A 26,720-nucleotide genomic window follows, 5' to 3' on the forward strand; every position below is an offset into this window, starting at 1 on the left:
CTTCCTCATTTTATAGATGGGATTACTGTATACTGGTATACACCCAGTATACGTAGGATGACTATGCAATTTGTTGATTGTGATGGTTATATGAATATAATAGCTGAGCAGAATAATTATTCTTGATATATGCTTACCTTAATCAGTTTCTTAACATGAACTCATCTGTCATACATCAATTGTATAATTTCTGAAAAACATTTTTTCCTCAAAATTGACTTATTTTTAGGTTTCTCATAAAATTGCTTATAATACTTTATAAAGTTGCACTTGGTTAATGAATTTTGCATGCTGACACTTTAATTGACCTTTCTCCGTAGATCTTATTCTGAATTGAGTAAATTCTCTCTCTACAGGTAATGGGTAACCTCAGAATAAATTCTGCTAAATGGGATTATATTTTTATATTAATACATACAATTATTTTAGTCAAAATATTTTCACTGGTAATGTCTTTTTGTCTCCAAAAATTATATTTCTTTGCAAATATTTTACAAGGCTAATCTCATTAAAAATTATCTCTGATCTTAAAGAAAAATTTTAAATCCAAATTTAGAAGGATGTTGCAAAATTTTAAGTCTAATTTTTTTTTCACAGGTTTGAGGAATAAAAAGTTTAGAAGTAGGAGGTCCATCAAAAGATTCCTCCCACAAAAGTGATAATCTTAAAGCACAATTTCTAAGTATCCTAAATTAAATATTGTACACTCTTGAGCTCTTATTTTTCAGTCCTTCATTGACTGCATAGGACTAATTTAAATTCTTACTGTGTATAAGATTTGTTTTCAATAATTGCAGTTAACTAAAAGTTACAAAAGGTGAAGCTTCTTGATGCTCCATTTATTGGATATGTTGATTAAAGATTTCCAACTGATTTTAAAGAAAATATATCCAAAACTTAGATTACTGATGTATAAAAATTTTTCAGTACTATTGTTGGGTACTTAGTTTGATACACAAATTAGTTTTTCAGTGGTACAATTAGTTGGGTTGATGATGATCAGCAAAAAGGAAAAAATATACTGCTCTGCTGAAGTATGTTTTTATATTTAATATCAGCTTTATTAAAAACATTTTATGATTCAGATAACCTACCTCAGGAGTCAGCAAACTTGTTCTATAAAGAACCAAATACTGAATATTTCAGACTTTGTGAGACATATGGTCTCTGTTGCAAGTACTCAGTTTTGCCATCATAGCATGAAAGCAGCCGTAGACAATAGTACTCAAACAGATGTGGTTGTGTTTCCAGGGCCATCGTAACAAAGTATCACAAACTAGTTGCTTCAACTACACACAGTTATTCTCATACACTTGTAAAGGCTGGAAGTCCTAAATCAAGGTGTTGACAAGATTGGTTGCTTCTAGTGGTTCTGAGGGAGAATCTGTTCCATGCCTCTCCTAGTTTCTGGTGGTTGCCAGCAATCTTTGGCATTCCTTGACTTGTGGCAGTATAACTCAAAAGTCTGCCTCTGAGGTCACATGGCATTCTTCCTTTGTTCCTGTCTCTGCATCTCTGGTTCAAATTTCCCTTTTCTTATAAAGATACCAGTGATTAGATTGAGGCCCATCTTAATCCAGTATGACCTCATCTTATCTTGATGGTATATGCGAAGACATGATTTCCAAATAAGGTCATATTTTCAGGTGCAAGGGGGTTAAGATTTGAACATATCTTTTAAAGAGACACAATTCTACCCACTGTACTATGTTCCAATGAAACATTATTTACAAAATCATGTTTTGTGGGCTGTTATTTGCTGACCTTCCTCTAACTGAACTTCAATTGTAGTAATGTTTGTAAGTTTTCACAGCTATAGATCTTATATTAATTGGTAGAATATTGCAGCTTATTTAAACACAGTTACAAATTATGTAGGCAGTGCAACCAATTCCAAGTACATTTCTGCTTATAAGTTAATTTAGTAAAGAACATTATTTTTTCATAGCACTATATCAACCTAAATTTATATTCACATACTTTTATATGTATGATTAACTTTTAACTGAATTTCTATAGCATTTGTAATAATTTCAAATGTTTGATCTTTTATAGAATGACTCTCTAAAAGTTTTACTTTGATTCCTTGAATTGAAAAAATTGAGTCATGATTAGAATCAACTGACTTTTAAAAAATTAATGATACTTATATAAAACTGGCATTGTGCTGTGTGCAAAGTTATTGTTCTACTAATAGAGCTAACACATTAAAAAGTACAGCTTCTTTTTTTAATCTTGCATATGAGAATTTAGAATTAAAAATAAGCAAAAATTAGATTGCATTTGATCTAAAGGCAAAGTCTTGCTTCATAGAGTGATATTTAAACTCATAGCTAAAGCTTTTATATCATCACCCCTGGTCACAGCCTTATTAAAATAGTTACTAACTTCTGAAACTGACATTCTGCAGATTTGTCTTCTGATTCTCTTGTGGTTGGTAATGTCACTTTTGCCCTCATGGTTGATGAGAAATGCTAATATTAAAGTTATACTTTATCATTAATCTTCTTCTGCAATGGAGAATACTGGATTTTTCTTAGTCATGTATTTAAGCGACTCATGCTGAAAAGTCTTACGAAAAGGAAAAAAGGTACCAAACAGCCATAGATTTACATCCCATAGTGTAAGTGATGAACTATCATAGCAAAAGTATTCAGACTACATTTTCTACACCCGTGGTAGGTCTGCTTCGCTTCTATTTCTCATTCATGTTAAATGCATTTCTGTCTTGTGATGTCTACTTTCTCACTGATCCCACCAACTGGAAGTCTGGTTTTCTACATCACACACTGACCGTGGCATGAACCATCTCACCTGGATGGTATACATGATGGCCAGGGGCAGCAGTGTCAAATGCTTTGCCCTCCTTCCATGATGGCCAGAGGAAGGTAACTCTTCCTACCTCTATTGTCTGATCATGTTTTGTTTTGTTAGCAAATGCCCTGACTCACAAACCTGGAAGAAGAAGATTTAGTTATAGTGCATCTGAAAAAGGGCAAGAAAAGAAAAAGCCTGTGTACCTTTCAGATTTTATGAAACTATATGTTGAAGTCAGAACACTGTTAATTACATGTGCATGTCACACAGACATGCCCATGGCAGAAGAGTCACATACCAGTGGAATTGTGCTTAACCAATTAGGCTCATTTTAATGTAACTATTAATATTTCACTTAAAATAAATCCTGAATAAATGCTGAACTTCCAGGATGTAGCATAATAGGCATACATTATAGCTGTCATAGGTAACTGCTACTTATGGTCATCCTTAGAATGTCATATAGTAAAGTAGACTTTCAGGCTCTTGAGCCTATCAGAGTTAATTTACTTTTATAAAAGTATGCTTTAGGCTTAACTTCTGCACATTATCTCCTGTGTGTTATTTTAATTTTCTTTAATTTACCTAAATAAATTTCCCTAAAGTAATTTGTCCTTCCCTCAGAATCTATTCAGCTTGAAGTGAGTTAAAGAAAACAGCTTTCTTCTGGAGAATACAGCATACTTAGTCTCTGGAGAAATGTAAAAAACCTTCTCCTGAACTGGTAGTTCTTAAGCCCTAGTGTGTGTAAGAATCACCTAGGGTGCTTATTAAAACTGTACATTTCTGCCCTTCACTGGTAGTAAAAATTAAAAATTCAATTACATTTTGGACATTTTTAAAGGCTATTGACTTATTATCCCTCCCTTTTTACTTTCAAAATGACTATTTTCTCTTCCCTTTCTTGCATGTAACAAATACTGAATTTCTAATAGTATCAAGCAAAATCTTGATAAATAGGTTAAGGTCATCTTGAGCAAAGAAGGCAGGGATCTCAGATTAAAATAAGTGTTGATGTGTTATTTAGAAAAAATCGAGATATTATAAGGGCACAGCTATAGGGAAACTTAACCTAACTTGAGTGGTATGGTAAACTGAAGAAGTGATATGTGTTCTGAATTTGTTTTTAAATCAAGTACTTGAATGTGACTAAGAGGAAGGTTTGTGGATACCATCCTGGAAATAGTAACAAGAAGAGAAAATATATACTAGATGTGTTAGGATATTTATAGTGCTAACCTTTCCTGTCTCTAATGGATATTTCAGAATATCAGACATTTTCTTTTTTATAATTTACTAAATTGTTTTTTTTGAATGTTGCAATATATTGATTTTCATAGTTTCTTAAAATGATTTAGAAAATATTTAATTATACCTTTTTAAAACAATTATATAATAGTAGCAATCCTAGTCAGTAATATATCGATTCAGTAAAATTTAAAAATAAACTTTTAAAGTAATTGAAGATACTATACTTCAATTACTTTAAAAACTATGAAAATGAAAAAGACCTATGAAAATATATGTTTTAATTCTAATGGGGGTTTGACTGAAGTGCATATCAATTTACATCTAGAAAAATGTAAATTAGAAATGCACTATGCCATTTAATATGCAATATAAGTCTTTATAAAATGGACCCACCTTAGACGACTTCTAGTTGCATTTTTCAAAAAATCAAATCCACTTTTTGTTGTAAGTCTCTTTCCCTAGAAATTACTCTGATGGCACAGCTCCAAATTAGTTAACTGTACAATGCTAATGACACAAAGACCAAGGCTATGTAATCTGTTTATGACTGCCCACCTGTGTGGGCATATGCCACTCATCACCAGAGTAACTTTCACAAGAGTTTGAAAGTGTGAATGGAGCAATTCAAATTTATGCTCACTCCTGAAAATAGCTTGCATTTTATGTCTTTCTGTTGAAAAATTAGCATCACTTTTGATAAGGTAGAATGATTATGCTAGGGATTTAACTTGTATATTTAGTCTCTTACAAATATTAGCAGGATTAGATGATTATTTAGATACCAGATTGAAATTTTCAAGCAGTGGGGATGAGAGGGAGAAATGTCGACAGTTAAGAGATCCTGGTTAAGGGATGGTCTACTGGATGCAGGAAGGATATATTGAATATTTGTATCTACCTATACTTAATGGCTCAAACTCAGTTTGAAGGTCAATTTTAGAAGAGTGATAAGGCCGCCTCTCTAAGTGAGACTTCCTATACTACTTGATGTAGTCAATAGAAGCAGAGGTTTATGGAAAGCAGGAAACTATTTCTAGATAGTGAAGGTCTAAGTTTGGACTGTTATAACAATACCATAAATGGGTGGCTTAAACAACAGGCTTTTATTTCTCATTTTTCTGGAGGCTAGGGAGTCTAAGATCAAGGCACTAATTGTGTCTGGTGAGGGCCTGGCCTGCTTCATAGATGGTTATCTTCGCCCTGTGTCCTCACATAGTAGAAAGAGTGCAAGAGGGCCTTCTGGGGTCCTGTTCATAAGGGCACTAATCTCATTCATGAGGGCTCCACTCCTTATGACCTAATTACCTTTCAAAGGCCCTACCTTCTAATACCATCACATTGGAGATTAGGATTTCAGCATATGAATTTTTTGGGGAAACTAACACTTAGTCCATTGCGAGGTGCTGAGTGAAGAGAACTGAACCGACAAGAAAATGGGAATTGTATTCTCCCGGTCTGATCATTGACTCAAGACCTTTAGGAGCCACCTGGCGGTGGCCTCACGTCAGCCAGTGTAGGCTGGTGTAGACTGCCACAAGGAAAGCACACCTACCTATGCAACTCTTTTCTTTTGTACTAGAAGTGTGGCAGGATACTATTTTCCCCTTGTTTACTTCTAGTTATCCATGACACTTTCTTCATTAGGACAATTTGACTACAAGCTCTTCATTGCCTCAGACAACTTCTACTCTGGAAAGTACAAAAAAGATCCACAGCCTCAAATTTAGACTCTCAGGGGATATAGGGAAAAATGATTTTCAGTTAAGGATTTATGCTTCTGAGACTAAATATTTTCCAGCTTGGGGCACAGAAAATAGGAGGTGAAGTGAGAACTTACGACACTGGTAGGTCTCCCTGCTTATGCTTTTTCAATCCCTTGGTAAGAGGATATGCTGAGAGAGGTGTCAGAGATCTCATAGCAATGGGAACTTGGGCTCCTATCCCCCAGGGAGAGCTCAAGGTATGAAATTTCACATTTCCTGGCCTGAGTTGGAGATAAAGATCATGCATGACTGACATGGCAGGGAAGGAGCAAGGCGAGTTGCCAGACCTGGAGGGGTGTTTTGGACAGAGACCAAAGAAAAGACCGGAACAAGAATGTCTCAGTGGATGCTAGCATGGACAGATGACTCCCAAGTACAAAAACTGCCATGTTTCTCACCAAGAGCTGGGAATTAGGTATAATAACTTTGAGGGAAAGTTTGTAGTTTTGGGAAAGTGATACATATTCTGAGATTGGATGGAAGGGGACAGTGTAGAAATGAAAGTGAGTCATTGGTCACCTATAATTGTGAACTGGGATTTGTTACAGCTTTTGAACTTCTTGATGGCAGAAATACTTTCCCGTCCTCTGTCTTCACTTATCTCCATCTATATAAATAGATTTTTTAATTAATGAAAATCTGTATTAATACATTTTTATTTAGTACCCGCTAAGTGCTGGGGAAATTAGAATAAGTTCTTGGCCTCAAGGAACTCCCAGTCACACTGCACATGGTATTTGCACACATGGATGGGCAAATAATTGCAATATAATATGGTAGGCACCATAATAGATATGTACTCAAGGAGTAGTGGTAGCACAAGGGAGGCAGTGATTTACTTTGTGGGTTGAAGAGAAGTCAGACTACTTCAGAGAAGATAGCCTTTGAGAACTCTTTAAGGATGAATAGGAATTTGCCAAATAATTTAGCAGAGAAAAGTTTTTCAGGAACAGGACATTGACAAAGGTGCAGAGTCACGAATGGTTTGTGTGTGTGTGTGTGTGTGTGTGTGTATCTATTTTGTAAAGAGAATGGTAGCAAAAATTACTGTTCTAAGCGTAAGATTGTTGCTTATTGACCTTAAATTGTGGGAAGATGGTGAGACGCCAAGACAGTAATGTTTGTAAAACACATCAAAAACTTCACAAATGTAAGGTTATGGTGTTATTATCTAATAAAATGCTTACTAAATGAAGATTATAAAGGCCTAACTTGTTTTTTAGATCTTTAGGTATTGTTACCTCTTTTTAAAAATATATATGAAAAAGCCTCCTTTAGAATCTTAACTTTTCCTTATTATTCTGACCCTGAAATGGAATTGTCTTGTCATTTACAAAACATTTAATAGTGCCCAACGTTGTCATAAAGAGAAAAATAATCTTTGATCTTTTCTAATAGCTGATATTCATAAACCCTTCTTCTTAGAGGTCTTAAAATGTTTCTGGAGAATTATCAATTGTGCATAATTATATTGTTTGCCTATTTTTTTTGAGATGAAGTCTTGCCCTGTTACCCAGGCTGGAGTGCAATGGCACAATCTCAGCTTACTGAAACCTTCGCCTCCCGGGTTCAAGCAATTCTCCTGCCTCAGCCTCCCAAGTAGCTGGGATTACAGGTGTGCACCACCACATCTGGCTAATTTTTTGTATCTTTAGTAGAGACGGGGTTTCAACATGTTGGCCAGGCTGGTCTCAAACTCCTGACCTCATGATTCACCCGCTCGCCTTGGCCTCCCAGAGTGCTGGGATTACAGGCATGAGCCACCGTGCTTGGCCTGTTTGCCTATTTTAACACTGGAAAACCAGAAGCAGTCGGAACATTAACTTTGAACACTGGAATAAATCTGTAATGGCAAAGTCAATAGCAGAACTTCACAAACCAGAGAACTTAAGGGGATTTCAGTTATTATCACTTATAGAAGAAATGTGTATTAATGCATTATCTTAAAAGAGGAGTTAAGTCTATGCTACAAAACTAATAGAAAACAATTAAAAGACTTACTACTTTATTTGGCATGTCATTTTCTTTGCGTTTCTAGAAGACTTAAAAATGATTGTCTACTTGCTATCATACCATATACATTTTTGACTCTTTGGTCAAATTTGTCTGAATTGATTAAACAAAAATAACATGGGAGACAGTAGGAAGATTAAAATTCACAGCAGGCAGAGGCAATAAACCAAATGACTGAATTTGAAGTTTGACTTCTTTCTGATATTTTTATTAGATTCTCACAAGTAGAGTTCAAGCTTAACACTTTAGAATGAGAGATTTCCAAAATCCTGGCTTTCAGTGAATAAGGATAAAAACAGAAAAAAACTGCCCATAAAAATTTAAGAAAATCTAGAATGACTTATACAATCTTAAGTTTGGCAGCCAATATATTTCTTTCTTACATAATCCCAAGAAAAAATGTCAAATATTTATAGATGTACTAGCAAATTATAAGAACAAGTTTTCTGATATAAGCTGTAACACTTAACATTTCTAATTTTATTAGAAACCTTTAAAATATACTGGATTCTTCTAACAAAGAAACTGGCAGATTTATAACTCTTCAGTTATATTTAGTATTCAGCTCTTTTAACTCTTATTTTGAAGATTTCCTTACCCATTGGGAGACATTAATTTATGTTTGCAGAATTCTTGGTTTATCTTTGAGAATTAAAGTATGTTTTTTATTTATTCACCCACTCGTTAGATTCTTTCAGTCTTGCAACATTCAATATTGAACAGACATGTTTCATGTAAGGATTTGTTCTAAGTCATTGCCAAGGGCAGCAATTACGTGTGTAGGTTTTGGGGCAGATGGGTAAATGTTGCTGTTCCAGCTTTATCAATTAACATCAGCATGCCATGCATATTATTTTATGTCTCTAAGTGTCTCTTCTGTAAAATGAAGAGAATAATAGAACTTATAATTTCATAAAAATAGAATGAGAACACTTAATTTGTAGTAAAAAAGCCAAATTTCAAATTTTAGAGAGATCACTCAATCTCTGTATGTATCAAGTTTTTTCAGTAGTAAAGCAGATTTATGTCATTTGCCTGATCTACCTCATTATTGTTATAAAGACAAAGGGCACAACATACATTGTACTTTGTAAACGCTACAATGCTAGAGTTAGAAGTCTTATTGAATTATATCTATGATCTATATAATCATATAATATATAATTATACCTATATAACTATAATCTATATAGTAATTATATAATATATATCTATATAACATATAATCTATATAATTTATAATATATAATATCAATATAATAATATAATTAGATCTATCTAGTTATATCTATATGATCTGATATGTAGACCTGGGATGGAGAAGGTGCTGAATAAGGATTTGTTGAATGAATAACATATTTATTCATTAATAAACATTTATTAGAAGCTTATTGCCAGGATTAAATAGAAATGCATTTAAAGAGCTAGCACCATGCTTAATACTTAGTAAAATTTTCAGTATGAGAGTTGTTGCTATATTATAGCTATCATGCTCTATAAGTCCAAAGTAAATGTAAGCAATAATTATTTTCATTTTAAAAAGCCCTAAATATGCAACAACATATGAAAACATTTTGTTTAGGATTGAAGAGCACATTGTACCCCTTTAACACTTGCCACATTTGTCTCATATTTTTTCATGTGTGCATGTGACATATCCTCTTTCCTCGCCTTCACTCCAGACTCATGTTTTAAGCTTCCTTAAGATTTGATGCATCTATTGAGTGCCCAGAGGGCTCACAGCCAGCGGCTGCAGCCTCTTAGTTCTTCCCTTGCAAGCTTGGTTAAAACTTAGTACTTCCCTCCAAATGAGACTTGATCCTTGATAAGAGCCAGAGACCCAAGTTTTCTCTAGAAGTTCATAGTCATCATTGCATGTACATAAATAGTTATACTCAGGCAGAAATTCTCCCTTAGTTTTGGATGTTTAGTGTAGCAAGTGTTTGTATGAGTAGCTCCTTCAGTATTTTAATGGAAAGGAGATGTAAGCTCTCCACTAGAATAGAAGCTCTACAAGGGCCTGAAATATTCGCTATTGTATGTGAGGGAGGGAGGAAGGTCAAGTATTATTGGCACGGTATCACGTAAAGTAAACCTAGAATTCTGAATATCTTTATGGCATCTATCACAGTTGTTGTTTAAAACCTTTTTCATTTCATATCCGTAAGTTTCCAAACCCATTCTTTTCACCGCTAAAAAAAAGTGGATTGAAAAACTAAATTCTAGTCTATGAGAGCTTTGTTCTCCGAATCAGAGTAGCATAAGATCCTTTTATTAATGCTGTCCAGGAATATTACTACTTATGTTATCAGCGTAATCCATTGACCTCACATTCCTTCATAGCTTAATTTAAGAACTAGTGGAGAAAAATTTTTAGGTATTTTTTGAAGGTATGTGTTCAGACTGGCTAATGAAGGAAATCCTTGCATTTAGAAAATGCCTTCAGGTTATCAGAGTTTATCTGATTCCAAGTCAGTGAGTAACCATTTATTAAGTTCCAATTTGCCAGGCTGAAAAATTCTATCCCTTCAGAGATGATTAATAATGTAAGGGCAAGATACTTAAGAGCAACACCTATTTTAAAGTCCAAAGAAGGAAGAAAATGAAGAGAATCATGTTCGCAGACTAGTTTAACCATGGTCCTCAACATAAACTAGATAAAGGAGTAGAAAGTATAGAGCCTAGAATTGGGTTTTAGGAGATTGCCTTAGTAAAGCTGTGGAATGAAGCAGAGTTATCAGCAAAGATTTAGAGAAACAATAGTGAGAGTGACTGGAAAAATACTGGTGTCCTATGAGCTAAAAGATAAGTGCTTGAACAAGGGAATGGCAAAAAGTTGTATATGAAACAAATGGCTGTTGTGTTTGGTTGAAAAGAATGATCTCACGTTAGAAAGCAACCTGGTGGAAGGTGACAAAGCTGTAGAGACAGGAGTTAAAGCAGTGAGGATGTGGAGACAGCAATGGTAGGTCTAATGTTGGAAAGAATTTAACCAAGAAAGAATGACATAGGCCAATAGCTGAGAGAGGTTAAAGGCTCAAATGAAGACTTTTTTGTTTTTTTCTAGTCTATTTGAACTTAATGATGTTTACTCTAAGTTTTAAAGAGCTAAACCAAGCATTTTACTGAACCATGTTAGCTGGCATTTTATTTGCCAACAGACTATTAATTATAGTTTTCATTGGCAAGAGGTAGTTGTTAATATAGTTAATGAGTATCCTGTTGTAGTATAAATGGAGCTCATTGGCCTTTGCCTTAGGATGCCAGCATCAAACAAGTCAGTAACTGTTGCTGATGGTTAATTTCTTAGAAATTGCTACTTCTCTTACAGCATCAGAGTGGTTACCCCCTTGATCTTCAGTAAGTAAACAGTAAATAGAATAAGTTACTAAATATACAAACTGGGATTACACATGTGAGTTCTTCTACAACAGGCAGTAAGATTTTGGCAGGAGCAATTAAACCCACTGAAAGGTTGATGTGAACTCCTCCTTAAGTCATTCCATTTCCAATGGCTAACATAGTCACAGAGGAAAGATGACCACAGAGCCAGTGTAGTCAGAAAGCAACTTTATACTGCTGAATAGTGGCTTTCTCTGCTATTTATTTAGTAAGAGGTGTTAAGCTAAATTTGGCCTGAGGATGCCTCCATACTTTGAGTCTGTTATAACAAACTGCAACCTTAGTATAGAAACTGAAAGCCTCATATCGGTGTATAATTTTGTAATAGGTAGCTAAGTCACAATCAATCACAACAGCCAAACTTGAGTCACAGGCTGCCAGCTGATCTGACCATATTTAAATAAGGTAAACAAAGAGCTGTGATGGATCAAGCTTCTCTTGTATGTCACTTTATTTTTTCTGTCTATAAATGCTGTCTGTTCACAATACAGAACGGAGCTCTCTGAATGTCTCCTCATTCAATGTCCCCAATTCCTGAATTTGGCTGCCCAATTTGTGAATCGTTCATTGTTCAAATAAACTGTTAAACTTAATTTATATAAAGTTTTAGCAGGTGAAAGACTTCTCTCAAGTAGAATTTCATGCTTGATATTTTACAACTCAGAAATATGCCTATTGCCATCTCAAGAGCACTTATTTTTGAGGCAATGTCAACAAAAGACAAGGACTGTGTGGTTGTTCAGGTTGAGGGTTGTTTTATTTCCATTTAGTTTCTGGGGATAATTTGAGTATTTCTTTAATTGTTGCTTCTTTTAAGAAAAAAACTCTAGTTGTTCCAACAATCTTGGATTTTTAGTATTTAGGCATACCAGGAGGTCCTCAAATTGTTTTCAGTACCCATAAGCCTAATGGAAATCAGGCATTTCCTGTCAATCATGCTGTATATCTCAGTAAAATAGCACATTGATTTTTTTTTAATTTTTGGCTAAAATTTTTTATCAATTTCTTGCTAATCAGGAGCTCTGGTGGTTAAACTTGCTGTTAATTTGTTAAGAATGTTAATTTAACAAACATAATTACAAAGAAATATTTAAAAAATGGGATTTATAAGGAAGTTGTCTTAGTCTATCTTGTGCTGCTGTAACAAATTACCACAGACTGTAATTTAAAAGAAACAAATTTAATTCTCATAGTTCAGGATTCTGGGAAGCCCAATATCAAGGTGCAGGCATCTGGTGAGGGCCTTCTTGCTGCATGATAACATGGCAGCAGGGCAAATAAAGGAAGAAAAGGGGGTAGGAATGGGAGAGGAAATTTGCCTTTCCACTTTTTGTTTTATCCAGATCTTTAGCCAATTGGCTGGCGCCTGCCCACATTGAGGGCAGATTTTTCCCACTCAGTCCACTGAATCACACACCAATCTCTCCTAGAAATACCCACAGAAACACACCCAGAATTACTATTTGACCAGTTCTGTAAGTATATTTTAATTCAGTCAAGTTGACCCTAAAATTAAGCATCATAAAAGTTAATACAAATATACTTAATAATGAAAAAGTTGAGAGCTATTGCCAGAAATTTTCCTGCCTGTACTGGAAATCTGTGATTTTCTTAACTCAAACACTTCTTTGAAAATCTAATGCCATTACTTAAAAATAGACTAATATGTAGAATTATCTAAATTGCCTGATTATCTGTATTTTGTAGACAGGTTGTGTGATTTGAGGAGCCAGTTTCTTCTGAGACATTTTGGGAAGCTGCCCCTCCCAGTTTTACCTGTAACCTTGCTATGTAAACTCATGCTGATGCTGCTAGGGGTGGATTGGTTTCCTTAGGGAAGCCTTAGACAGTGTGAATAATTGGGGTTTTATTTACTGCTGAGGAATAAACACATGCTGGCATTTTTATTACTATTCTGGGACTTGTATGCATCATTTTCCATGATTGCTGTTGCCCAGCCGAGTTGCTACTTGGGTAATCTGGCAGAAAGAGAAAATGTTATCTCATTGCAAATTCTCTTTTTAATTATCAGGGTTTTGGAATTCCAATCCAAGAGATTAAAGCTGTGTAAATAAAAAACACACACACACACACACACACACAAATAAAACCTCCAAAATTCAGTTTCTAATTTTTTGAGTCCTCAAAATCCATGTCAATTCAAGTTCCTTTTTTTATAGCATGGCAATGATAATCTTTTATAATATGAGAAAATCTATAGGCTTTAATTTTTTTGTTCTAAGATTAGGATAAAAAATGTTAATGTCTTTGCATTCTCGTTATTGAAATCAGAAATTTGGGGACATAAATGCTCAGTAGCACTTTTACCCATGGGTGTTCAAGTTTTTCATATCTTGCTAATTATTAGGTAAAATGCATACATTTGTTGAGAATACCATGTACTACATCTCCTTAAAAATATAACACTTCACTAACCCCTTTGAGTTTTCACACAGTTTTTGCCATATGGGGTAGAAGAAAATTGAAATGGAAATGATCTAATTATGAAAGCTAAATTTTTACTTATAATAGTTCTAAGTCTAAAGTCAGACATACTTTATACAATTGAAAATACAGAAGTATCACAAGTAAACAATAAGTTATTCAATAGTAATAATTTTCTCACTTTTGTTCTATAGACAGTTCTTCTTTCCCTTTATTAAAAGCTCCACAGAAACTTCCTAGGATCTTGCTGACTTCTAATGCTTACTTAAAAATTCCTCTGGTATGTATCAGAGGTAATCAAGTAACCAAGTATTTTTGGATAAATGGAAATATTAAAAATTAGAAAGAAAATCTATCATGCAGATATCACATTTAGAATTTAAAAAGTTGTATTCCATTCCTGGATTTTATGTATCAATTTTGTGAGCCTGGTCATTTCAAAATTTCTTAGCGCTTCAGCTTCCTCATATTCAAAGTGAACGGGTTGGACTAAATAGTACTTAGGCTTCTCTTCAGAGTTATCTCTGTTCGACTTGTTTTCTGCAGTGAATAGTTGTGAACTAGCAGAAGGTTAGGCTGTTTTAAGTTGGGTCATAATTTTCCTGTTTTATTTGAAAGAGATGGTTAAGAATATGCCACTCAGGCTAAGAATATGCCACTCAGACCAGACCATCTAGATTTGAATCCTGGCTCTGCTGCTTACTACCTATTTAATTTTGGGGCAAATTAACTTAATCTCACAATTCTTTTTCTTTATCTGCAAAACCATGATAATGTACCTACCTCATAGGATTGTTAGGATATTACATTAATCAATATATGCAAAAGCTTAGAACAGTGCCTGGTATATAGTTGTGTTCCTTAAGTATTATTTGTTATTAAATATATAAAAATAAGATTTCAATTCAGGACTCAGGAACCACACTGTGTGTTTCAGAGAGAAAGGGGTTTAATATAGATGATTTAGGTGCTCATGAAATGGGAAAGGGTCGGAGGAGTTAGGGTTGAGACTGGGACACTGGTTCAGGGTACACCGTCATAGCTGCAACCCAGCAACCAAATTTTATATCACATTGGTGGATTTAATTTCATCCAGAACTCTCACTACAGAAGTGTCTGGGGAATGTGGCATTTACTTTTCAGGAAGAAATGAATGCTGAGTGCCAATTACCTATATCTAGTTCTAGCTGCCTAACAACCTCAACTTCTTCCCAGAGGGCCCCAATTCAGTGTTTCTGAGAAGTCTCTCTGATATGTTATTTTTTTAATCCTGACAACAACCCTATGAGCTACATATCCGCAAATTAGAGAAGAAAACAGGCTTAGAGTGAGCAGTCAAGTGACTTGGCCAAGTTGAAATTGTTGAACCAATTCTGAGTGTAGGTGGTCTGATTCCCAGAGGCTTGTCTATGCTGTATGTTTCATGCTTCGGACTTGCGCCCTTTGTGCTCTCCAATGACTTAAAGGAATGTGCCCCTTTCAGTCCAGCTTTACTCATTGCAATAGATGAAATTAAAGCTAGAGATATTTTTAAGAAACATATTGATGAGGATTTAATCTGACAAATTGTCTACAAACCATATTGTTGAATAACAAGGTGGTCCTATGGGTGGGAGTAGAGGGGAGACAGCATGAAAGAATGACATCAGTAGGACTCATATCTAGTGCCAATGGTCAATTAAATTCTTGTGATCTTGTCCAAAATGGGCAGAGGCTGATTATTGAAGATACGGTGGCTAACAAACAGAAAAATTATCACTCAATATTAGGTATTAAAGTATTTTATAAAAAATATGCAACAGATGCTTCTTGAATTTTCCAATGTTTTAACTTTTCTGTTTTCTAGGATTCCAGAAAATGCTATAATTTGGTAATATTTGACTCATAAAATGAACATGAGCTCTTAGAAACATTTTCAGATGTTTATTACTTTGTTTATTTGTTGAGAACATACTATGTGGCGAGTACTGTTCTATGAGCTGCTAATAAAATGGTAAAAAATGCAAGGTCCTACTAATAATAGTTTCATGGGGAGAACAAGCAGTAAATAAAAAATAAAATGAACAAAAAGCATACTTTAAGGGTTTGAAAAATACCAAGAGGAAAATAAGATGGGTTAGAAAGTAAGGGTTTATTTATTTAGAGTCTTGCTGTATCACTCAGGCTGGAGTGCACTGGGCTCACTGCAGCCTCCTTTTCTTGGGTTTAAATGATCCTCATGCTTCAGCCACCCAAATATCTGTGATTACAGGCATGCACCACCATGTCTAGCTAATTTTTGTATTTTCAGTAGAGACAGGTCTTTGCCATATTGGCCAGGCTGGTCTTGAACTCTTGACCTCAAAGAGATCTGCCTGCCTTGGCCTCCCAAAGTGCTGGCATAATAGGTGTGAGCCACTGTGCTCAGCCAGTAAGGGGTTATTTTAGCTAGGCTGATAAAGGAGGCTTCTCCGGCAAGTGACATTTGAGCTGAGATCAGCATGAAAGAGAGTCAGTCAGTCAGTTATGTGGACACCTGGAAAGGAATGATACAATCAGAAGAAATGACAAATGCAGAGGCGAAAAGTGGGGATGACCTTTATGTGTTCGAAGGCAAAAAAGTCCACTGTGAACAGAGAGTAGTGGACAAAGTGAGAAGTGGTGGACGTTGATGTTAGTTAGATTCAGATCTAGTTTTGATTTTATTTTTTTGCATGGGAAGTGATTAGCTTGTTATTAGTAGAGGTATAACCCAATTTTTGTGTTATAAGGATCATTTGGCTACTGCATGGAGAATGAACCCTCAGAAGAGAGTGGAAACAGAAAACCCACCAGGATGCTGTTAGCTTGAATGAGAGTTGATGATGTCTTGAATTAAAATTATAGCAGTGAAAATGGTGAGAAGTGGTCAGATTCTAGGTGTATTTATTGGTGGAACTGACGCAATGTCCTGGTAGATGGATTTGGGCTGTGAGAAACATAGAAGAATCAAGGATGATACAAAGGTTTTAGTCTGATCAGCAGGGTGGATGATGATATCATTTCTGAGATTGAGAAGACCAGGGAAAAAGTGACTTTAGAAAGTCAAGAATTCTTTTTTTGATACATTAAATTTGAGGTAGATATTAGATTTTCAAACAGAGATGTAGAGTGGTTGGATATACAAGTCTAGGGTTTAGTGGGGAGATTGGGATTAAATATTTGAATCTGGGGATCATCAAAAATATGGATGCTATTGGAAGCTGTAAATGGGATGAGATTGTCTAGGGAGACTAGAAAGAGAAGAGGGCCAAAAAGAGAATCATGGATAATTGAATAAATCTGAGAGTGAGAGAGGTCAACAAAGTAGACTGAAAGATAGAAAGCAATGTGCTAGGGGAAAAATCTGGAAAATTAAAGTGACACAGATGGTTAGAGAATACAGAGATGACAGAATTAGCCAAATGTGTCAAATGCTGCAGGATATCTAATAGGAGGAAAGATAATTGACCATTGGGTTGGCAAAAGGAGGGCCATTAGTTAACTTAAAAAAAATGGTTTTCAAACAGTGGTGAGGGAGTTTTATTGAAAGTAGAAAATGATGACGAAGTTACCAAAAGCAATTGTATCAAAAACAAAAATTAGCAAATGGGACCTAATTAAAGGGCTCCTGCATAGCAAAAGAAACTATCAACACTGTGTGGTGGTCCACACCTGTAATCCCAGCACTTTGGGAGGTCGAGGTGGGTGGATCGCTTGAGGTCAGCAGTTCAAGAGCAGCCTGGCCAACATGGTGAAACTCCATCTCTACTAAAAAATACAAAAATTAGCCGGGCATGGTGCAGGTGTCTATAATCTCAGCTACTCAGGAGGCTGAGGCAGGAGAATTGCTTGAACCTGGGAGGTGGAGGTTGCAGAGAGCCGAGATTGTGCCACTGCACTCCACCCTGGGTGACAGAGCAAGACCCTATCTTAAAAAAAAAAAAAAAAAAAAAAAAAAAAGCAATAAACAGATTAAACAACCTACAGAATGGGAGAAAATACTTCCAAACTAAGCAGCTGAAAAAGGTCTAATATCCAGAATGTATAACAGACTTAAATTTACAAGGAAAAAACAACCCCCTTAAACAGTAAGCAAAGGACATAAACAGATACTTTTCAAAAGAAGACATACAGGTGGCCAAGAAGCATATGAAAAAATGTTCAACATCACTAATTATTAGAGAAATGTAAATTAAAACCACAATGAGATATCATCTCACACCAGTCAGAATGGCTATTTATACTAAAAAAGTCAAAAAATAACAGATGCTGGTGAGGTTCCAGAGAAAGGGGGATGCTTATATACTGCTGATGGGAATGTAAATTAGTTCAGCCATTGTGGAAAGCACTGTATCCAGTCCTCAAATAATTTAAAACATAATTACCATTTGACCCACCAATCCCATTACTCAGTATATACCCAAAGGAATATAAATCATTCTACCATAAAGATACATACACACATATACGTTCATTACAGCACTATTCACAATAGCAAAGGCATAGAATAAACCTAAATGCCTATGAATGATAGACTGGATAAAGAAAATGTGGTACATACACTCCATGGAACACTATGCAGCCATAAAAATAAATGAGATCATGTTCTTTGTAGCAACATGGGTGGAACTGGAGGCCATTATCCTAAGTAAACTCGGGAGCAGAAAACCAAATACCACATGTTCTCATAAGTGGAAGCTAAACAAAGGGAACACATGAACACAAAGAGGAGAACAAATGAGACCAGGGCCTACTATAGAGTGGAGGGTGAGAGAAGGGAGAGGATCAAAAAACTATCAGGTACTATGCTTACTACCTGGGCGATGAAATAATCTGTACACCAAAAGCCCAAGACATGTAGTTACCTATATAACCTGCATATGTCCCTCTGAACCTGAAATAAAAGTTAAGGAAAGTGAAAAATTGTTAGTTCCTTCTGTGACGTGCCCCCAACATGCCTAGAAAAATACAAGTAGGGGTTCCTTAATGGGGTTATACAATTGGTGCTTTTTTTTTTCCCCCTGTCTCCAAGGCTCTGTGGTATGCTTTGAAGCTAGTTTTAAGTAGCCTTCCCTCATATTAAATTGGAGGTTCAGGATTAGGATTTCTCCCACCAAATTGTATTCTTATTCAGAATAATAGTAAAATAGCCTCATACTACTACCTTATGGTATGTTTCAGCTGATTCAGTTGATAGAAAACCATGTAATTTTTCAGCTTAATTTAACATTGTATCTAGGGCAAGCTCCAGGAGAAATTAGGTAGTGAATGCCCTGTTTTGTAGCTGGTTTATGGAAAATTTGAATAATTTACAAAAACGTACTTTTCTGAGATATCAAGCAGTTCGTTGAATTATGTTGGCATTCCTAAGCACTAACGCACATAATGAGAGAATATACTCCATTATACATGACATCTGGACTGGGAACAAAAACAGAATGTCAGCAGATATAGTAAAGGTTATAATAATGGTTACAGCCAATCTGGCTGACAATACTGTGTGTTCTTTTGACTGCTCGTGGGTGAACAAGACAATCTTTTAAAAGCAAATAAACACATTAACACAAGATAGGCAATGTTTTGAGACAGTGCCAAGTTGCAAATATCGTGTATGGACTCCTCTCAGGGGTTTTGAATTTGGGGAAGTACGTTTTGGGACATGTCATTAAATTTGCTGAAATGTGGCGCTTTCTTTCCTCTTCCCTATAGAGAGAAGCTGGAAGTGTTTAAGGGTTAGTAGCTCATGCCAAGATGTGGATGTTGATGTCCTAGTTGTTTCCTGACTCCCCCTCTGCGAGCATATGTTCGGCTTGGCTCCTCCGCATTGTCTGGAGGAGGCTTTCAGAGTGGTTCTGGGCAGAGCTAGACACTTGCTGAAGAGCATCTGATCCCACTTCATTTCCCTATAGCCTGGCTTACTGTGCCAATCACCAGTGGGAAGTTGGCAACTTGAATTCTGGGCTTTCTCCATGAAGTGAGGCACCACAGCATTTGCATGTATGACATTGTGTTTGTGGGTTATTAAAGAAGACATTTTGACTTGTTTTTGCTAATATTTGGGCAATGGAAAGATGCTCTACATATTCCATAGTCAAAAGGATCATCAGGACGACTGTGACATAGAATACACATGAAAATACATGAAGTAAAGCCCATGAAAACAATCAACTCTAAGGTGCACTCTAAAGAACTAGTTGTTGTGATAAATATTAGTGTTTCTCAATGGGTAAAAGTATTTACTATAGAGCAGTGTTTGAAAACTCAAGTGTTTCAAGTCCAGGGAGGCAGCTTGAACATTTGGGTCAGGATGTAACTGTTAGGAGTGGCGGGTCTTAGAGAAAACTGGTGATTGCACACCCAGCCATATTCAATTAGAGAACAACACAATAAAAGCCATAAAAAAGACCTTTGCAGGATAAGAGCCTGCTAATTGCCAGCTAGTGACATAATAGCAGAGAGTAAATAGAATTTTCCAGATGAAACAAAGCTTTGAGATTATTAATCTTTCATTTCACCAATAAATGAGGTGACATCTCTCGATTAAAGTCCCATAGGTACTTAGGGATAGGACTAGAATACAAATGCCTGGTGTTTTCTGTGTCAAGCTGTGTAAGGCAAAGACTGAGACCTAAACAGTACAATTATTTAACTCTGATAAAATAGTATGGTGCTACTGTATATATTTTTCTTTTTCTCAGAGGATAATGATCAATCTTTGCAAAACCCACTTCTAAGCCCTGATCATAAAACTCTGTTTTTAAAGACAACATTGTCTTCCGATTCTTCTGTATCTTATTTTTTAATTTTAATTTTTTAAATGTTTGTGGGTACATAGTAGGTGTATATATTTGTGAGGTACATGAGATATTTTGATACAGGTATATACTGTATAATAGGGTAAATGGGACATCCATCACCCCAAGCATTTATCCTTTCTTTGTGTTACAAAGTATCCAATTATACTCTTTTAGTTATTTAAAAATGTAAGTTATTGTTGACTGTACTCACCCTGCTGTGCTATCAAATACCAAGTCTCACTCATTCTATCCATTAATAACTATATTTTTGTACCTATTAGCCATCCCCATTCTTCCTCTATCACTACTATCCTTCCTAGCCTCTAGTAACCATCATTCTATTCTCTATGTTCATGAGTTGAATTATTTCAATTTTTAGCTTCCACAGATGAGTGAGAACATGGGAAATTTGTCTTTCTGTTCCTGGCTTATTTAACTTAACATAATGTCCTCCAGTTCCATCCATGCAGTTGCAAATTATAGGATCTCATTCTTTTCTTATGGCTGAATAGTACTCTAATGTATATATGTACCACATTTTCTTTCTTTCTCTTTTTCTTTCTTTTTTCCAGATAGAGTCTCTCTCTATCACCCTGGCTAAAGTGCAATGGCAGCAATCACGGTGCACTGTAGCCTCGACCTCCCAGGCTCAAGCTATCCTCCCATCTCAGCCCCTTGAGTAGCTGGGATTACAGGCGTGCACCACCATGCCTAGCTATTTTTTTTTTACTTTGTAGAGATGAGGTCTCACTATGTTGCCAAGCTTCGTCTCCAACTTCTTGGCTCAAGCAATCCTCCCACCTTGACCCCCTTAAAGTGCTGGGATTACAGGTGTGAACCACCACACCCAGCCACATTTTCTTTATCCATTCATCTGTTGATGGACACTTAGCTTGCTTCTAAATCTTAGCTGTTGTGAATAGTTGAATAGTGCTGCAGTAAACATGGGAGTGGAGACACAAAACTGTTGGAACCAAATTCATGTTGTTTTTTTAGACAGGGTTTCACTCCTGTTGCCCAGTCTGGAGCGCAGTGGCGTGCTCTTGGCTCACTATAACCTCTACCTCAGCCTCCGAAGTAACTGGGACTACAGGCTTGTGCCACCATGCCTGGCTAATTTCTGTATTTTTAGTAGCGACAGGGTTCCACCATGTTGGCCAGGCTAGTCTGGAACTCCTGATCTCAAGTGAACCACCTGCCTCGGCCTCCCACAGTGCTGAGATTACAGGCATGAGCCACTGCATCCGGCCCAAATTCTTGTGTTAAATAATGTCACAGGAGAATATATTCCTGTTTCTTACATTATAAGTGGAATTTGCCTGGAATTGGAAAAATTTGAACATGTAGGAGAGACAGGGCTATTTATAAATGAAAATTCAATGACAAACAGTAAAGAAATACATCAAATGAATCATTTGTGGTTGTACAACATAGACCTTCCACATTGCAGGAAAAATGTGACCAATTTTTAGGTAATATAATTTAAACAGAAATGTTACTTTTAAAAAATGAGAACTTTTATACTTCGGCTTCAAGTGTCAATTGTAAAACCATTTTGGAAATAGTTTTGCGTTTTACTTAAAAAGTGAAATGAGTGAACACTCTAAGGCACAGCTCTATAGCTTGGTGAAACTCACATGTATGTCAGCAGACACATCAATGTTCAAAGCAACATCCTTAAAAGCAAAAAACAGGAACAAGCCAAATGCACATCTACATTTGCAGTGGATAAATTGTATTGCATGCATATAATGGAATAACATATAATGTGAAAATGGACTACAGCTACATATATTAGTAAGAAACAAAAGGTGCCTTAAAAATATATACACAGAATTTCCTTTAAAATTTAAAAAGCAGCTGAAACTGAGCAACATGTGGATAGGAAATTCATGTGAGTTTAAACCATAAAGAACAATAAGGGAATAATTAAGGTAAAAGTAAGGATAGTGGCTAACTCTGAAGAGAGGGACAAAGGAGGTATAAGCAATCAGGTAGGGAAACCGGGGGCCTTAGGGATATTGATAATATTCTGTTTCTTTAAATGGTGGCATTCACTGATCTTATTCTTAAAATATATATTCATCTTTTATATAAATTTTATGTCAAAAGTATAATAACTGAGCAGAATAATTGGTAAGAAGTATTGAGTAATTATTGTCTTGAGTTTTTTCCCTTCATTCTTGACTGATAGTTTGGCAATTGATTATAGATAATGAATTATACACAGTCATGCACCACATAATGTTTTGGACAACGACAGACTGCAGATACAACAGGGGGTAAGATTATAAGGGAGCTGAGAAACTCCTGTGGCATAGTGGCATGTGGCAGCTGTCTTAACATAGCACAGTGTGTTATCTTTTCTATCTTTAGATATATTTAGACACACAAATACTTATCGTGTTACAATTGCCTACAGTATTCAATACAGTAACGTGCTGTATATGTTTGTAGCCTAGGAGCAATAGGCTAAACCATATAGCCTAGGTGTGTAGTAGGCTATACCATCTAGGTTTGTGGAAGTACACTCTATGTTGTTTGCACAATGACAAAATCACCTCAGCAACACGTGATTGACTGTATTTAATTGTATTAAAAATGTTTGTTGTAGAAAAAAATGGAAAAAATGAAGTTTGTCGTCTTAACTTTTTCTAAGTTCAATTGTTATCATTTTTACCTCCCAGTCGTTTTTAGCAGTTTTAAGTATATTCAAATTGTTGTGTGACTGATCTCCAGAATGTTTTCATCTTGCAGAAGTGAAACTTTTGATTCATTAAACAACTCCCCCTTTCCCCCTCCCCCAAGGCTCTGACAACCACCGTTCTACTTTCTGTTTCTGTGAATAGGTTCCATGAATCTGACTACTCTAGATACCTCATGTAAGAGGAATAATACAGTACAGTAGACTCCCCTTACTTGTGGTTCCACTTTTTGCAGTTTGTTACCTGCTGTCAACTGTGGTTTGAAAATATTAAATAAAAATTTCCAGAAATAAACAATTTGTAAGTTTTAAATTGGGTGACATTCTTTGTAGTGTGATGAAATCTTGTCCCATTCAGCCCAGGATGTGAATCATTCCTTTGTCCAGCATAGCCCTTCCGCATATGCTACCTGACTGGTAGGCACCTAGTAGCCATCTCAGTGATCAGATCACCTGTCCAGGTATTGCAGCGTTTGTTTTCAAGTAACCCTTATTTTACTTAATAATGGCCCCAAAGTACAAGAGCAGTGATGCTGGCATATTGTTATAATTGTACTATTTTATTATTAGTTATTAATCTCTTACTGTGCCTAATTTATAAATTAAACTTTATTGTAGGTATGTATGTACAGGAAGAAACATCATATATATAGGCATCATTAATACCCTTGGTTTCAGGCATCCACAGGGATCTTGGAATGTATCCCCTGACGATAAGGGAAGACTCTTACACTTGTCTTTTGTGACTGGATTATTTCACTTAGCATAGTGTGTCCAAGATTTATCTGTATTGTAGGATGTGGTCAGAATTTCTTTCCTTCTTAAGTCTAAATAATATTCCATTGTATGTGTATTAGTCTGTTTTCACACTGCTGATAAGCACATACCTGAGATCGGCTAATTTACAAGAGAATGAGTTTTAATGGACTTACAGTTCCTCGTGGCTCGGGGGGCCTCACAATCATGGTGGAAGGCAAGGAGGAGCAAGTTACATTTTACGTGGATGGCAGCAGGCAGAGAGAGAGCGAGCTTGTGTGGGGAAACTCCCCCTTATAAAACCATCAGATCTCATAAGACTTATTCATTATCATGAGAACAGCATAGGAAAGATCTGTTCCCATGATTCAGTTACCTCCCACTGGGTCCCTCCCACAACACGTGGGGAATTCAAGAAGAGATTTCAGTGGGGACACAGTCAAACCATATCAGTATGTATATACCACATTATGTTTATCCATTATCTGCTGGTCAACACCTACGTTATTTCCACCACTTGGCTATTGTGAATAGTGCTGCTACAAACATAGGTGGGCAAGTAAGTCTTTGAGATCTTGCTTTCTTTTGAATAGAGACCCAGATGTAGAATTCCTGGATCATACGGCAATTCTATTTTATTTTATTTTTTTTGAGGGTTATCTTTTATAGTGGCGGTACAATTTTACATTCCCACCAACACTATTTTTCCCATCCTTGGTAATTTTTTCCTGTCCTTACCAACATTTAACTTCCATTTTTTTTTTTTTTTCTGATAGTAGAATTCCTAATGGGCGTGAGGTGATATCCATTGGGGTTTTGATTTGCGTTTTCCTAATGATTAGTAATGTTGGGTCCCTTTGCATATACGTGGTCATTTATATATCATCTTTGGAGAAATGTTTATTCAAAGGATTTGTCTGTTTTAAAAGCTTGGGCTGTTTTCTTGTTAAAGGCATTTTTTTTTATATTCTGGATATTAACCTCTTATCAGATACATGATTTGCAAATATTTTCTCCCATTCTGTAGGCTGCATTTTCACTCTGTGGATTGTGCCCTTTGCACAGAAGCTTTTACTTTTGTTGCCTATGCTTTTGTTGTTATATCCAAGAAATCCTTGCCAAATCCAATGTCATGAAGATTTTCCCCTATTTTTCCTTGTATGCTTTACAGTTCAGATCTTTTAGGTCTTTGATCTACTTTGAGTTAAATTTTGAATGTGATGTAAGGTAAGGGTCCAACTACATTCTTTTGCCTGTGGATATTCAGTTTTCTCAACACCATTTGTTGAAGAAACTGTCCTTTCTCCATTGAATGGTCCTGGCATCCTTGTTGAAAATCTTTCGGAGATTAAGAATTATGTATATATGTTTAGCACCTTGAAGACTTCGTTCAGCTGTTTCCAGCTTTCAGTTTTTGAAGAGTCAGCTTTCAGTTTCATTGTTCTACTTTTCTAGTTGCTTTAAAGATCTTTTAAAATTGTTTTTGGTTTACTATGAGTCTAGGTGTGGATTTCTTTCTATTAACCTGGCTTAAGATGTTCTGGGATACCTAAGTCTTTGGATGGGTGTCTTTTGTCAGCTCCCCATCAATATTTCGTCTGTTAGAGCTTCTGTTCCATTCTTTGTAGGATCTTTTGAAAATCTTAGTAGTTTTTTTGTTGTGCGTGAGACAGGGTTTCGCTCTGTCACCCAAGCTAGAGTGCAGTGGCATGGTCACAGCTCACTGCAGCCTTGACTTCCCAGGCTCAAGCAATTCTCCTGCCTCAGCTTCTCAAGTAGCTGGGACTACAGGAGGCACCACCACATCGTTAGTAGATCTTTATTATACCTTCTCACTCCGAACTTCATGTTTCACAACATCTCAGATGTCATATTTTCCATCTGTCTCTTTGTGTTTCATTCTGCATTCAATCTTTAGCTCTCTATCTTTGAACTTACTTTCTTTTCTGCCATATCAAATAACTTATTTAACTCTTCCTTTGAATTTCTCACTTTAATATTATACTCTTCCTTTCTACTTAACTGTTTTGCATATCTGCTGGTTCATAGTTTTGGTACTTGCTTATTCTGCCATTATATTCTTTTACTAACTGCTGTAGACTGAGTGTCTGTCCCCCCAAATTCATGTGTTGAAACCCTAATCAAGAATGTGATGGTATTTGAAGGTGGGGCCTGTGGGAGGTGATTAGGATTAGATGAGGTCATGAGGGTAGAGCTCTCACAGGGCTCTTAGGAAAAGAGGAGGAGACAGAAGATCTCTCTGCATGCATACACCAAGGAAGGCCATGAGATTTTGTAACCAGGAAGACAGCTTTCACCAAAACCTTGACCATGTTGGTACCCTATTCTTGAACTCTAGAACTGTGAAAAATATTTGTTTAAGCCTCTAAGTCTATGGTAATTTATTATAGTAGCCTGAAATAAGATATGATATCTGTTCTTTTTTAACATTAATTATTCATATTTTACATTGATAATTTAAACACCTGCAGTTTTTGTGGAACTGATTTGTTTAAGTCTCAGTCACACAGGCTTGTTTCCAGTTGTGATTTGTGTTTCAATTGTGAGCTTATGCTTGTTGAGACTTTTATCTGTGGGAATTCTTTGGGGTCTGAGGTTGAGGTCATTTCTACAGAGAGCATTTGTTTGCCTCTGTCTAGCATCTGAGAGCACTACAATTTGGACTACCTTAAATTATTTTCTACTCGAGGTTTTTCAGGCTGTAAAAATAATGTAAAGTCTGATCTCGCATCTGTTATGAAGTTTGCTTTA

At 36.0% G+C, this 26,720-nt stretch overlaps 1 long non-coding RNA gene across 1 annotated transcript in view, besides 2 other annotated features; it reads left to right on the forward strand.

Moving 5' to 3' along the window:
• The window catches only part of LOC124904475 (uncharacterized), a 765,263-nt gene that overhangs the window by 60,283 nt on the left and 678,260 nt on the right, over positions 1-26,720 (forward strand). The gene's annotated exons all lie outside the window — the stretch shown is intronic.
• Positions 25,288-25,497: an enhancer, noted in NCBI's record as "active region_2271". NCBI's record gives its function as "activates an Ori minimal core promoter by ATAC-STARR-seq in GM12878 lymphoblastoid cells {active_cell/tissue: GM12878}" and the evidence as "EXISTENCE:reporter gene assay evidence [ECO:0000049][PMID:35858748]".
• Positions 25,748-25,817: an enhancer, noted in NCBI's record as "active region_2272". NCBI's record gives its function as "activates an Ori minimal core promoter by ATAC-STARR-seq in GM12878 lymphoblastoid cells {active_cell/tissue: GM12878}" and the evidence as "EXISTENCE:reporter gene assay evidence [ECO:0000049][PMID:35858748]".

The sequence above is a fragment of the Homo sapiens genome, chromosome 1, assembly GCF_000001405.40.
Source record: "Homo sapiens chromosome 1, GRCh38.p14 Primary Assembly".
Lineage (NCBI taxonomy): Eukaryota > Metazoa > Chordata > Mammalia > Primates > Hominidae > Homo > Homo sapiens.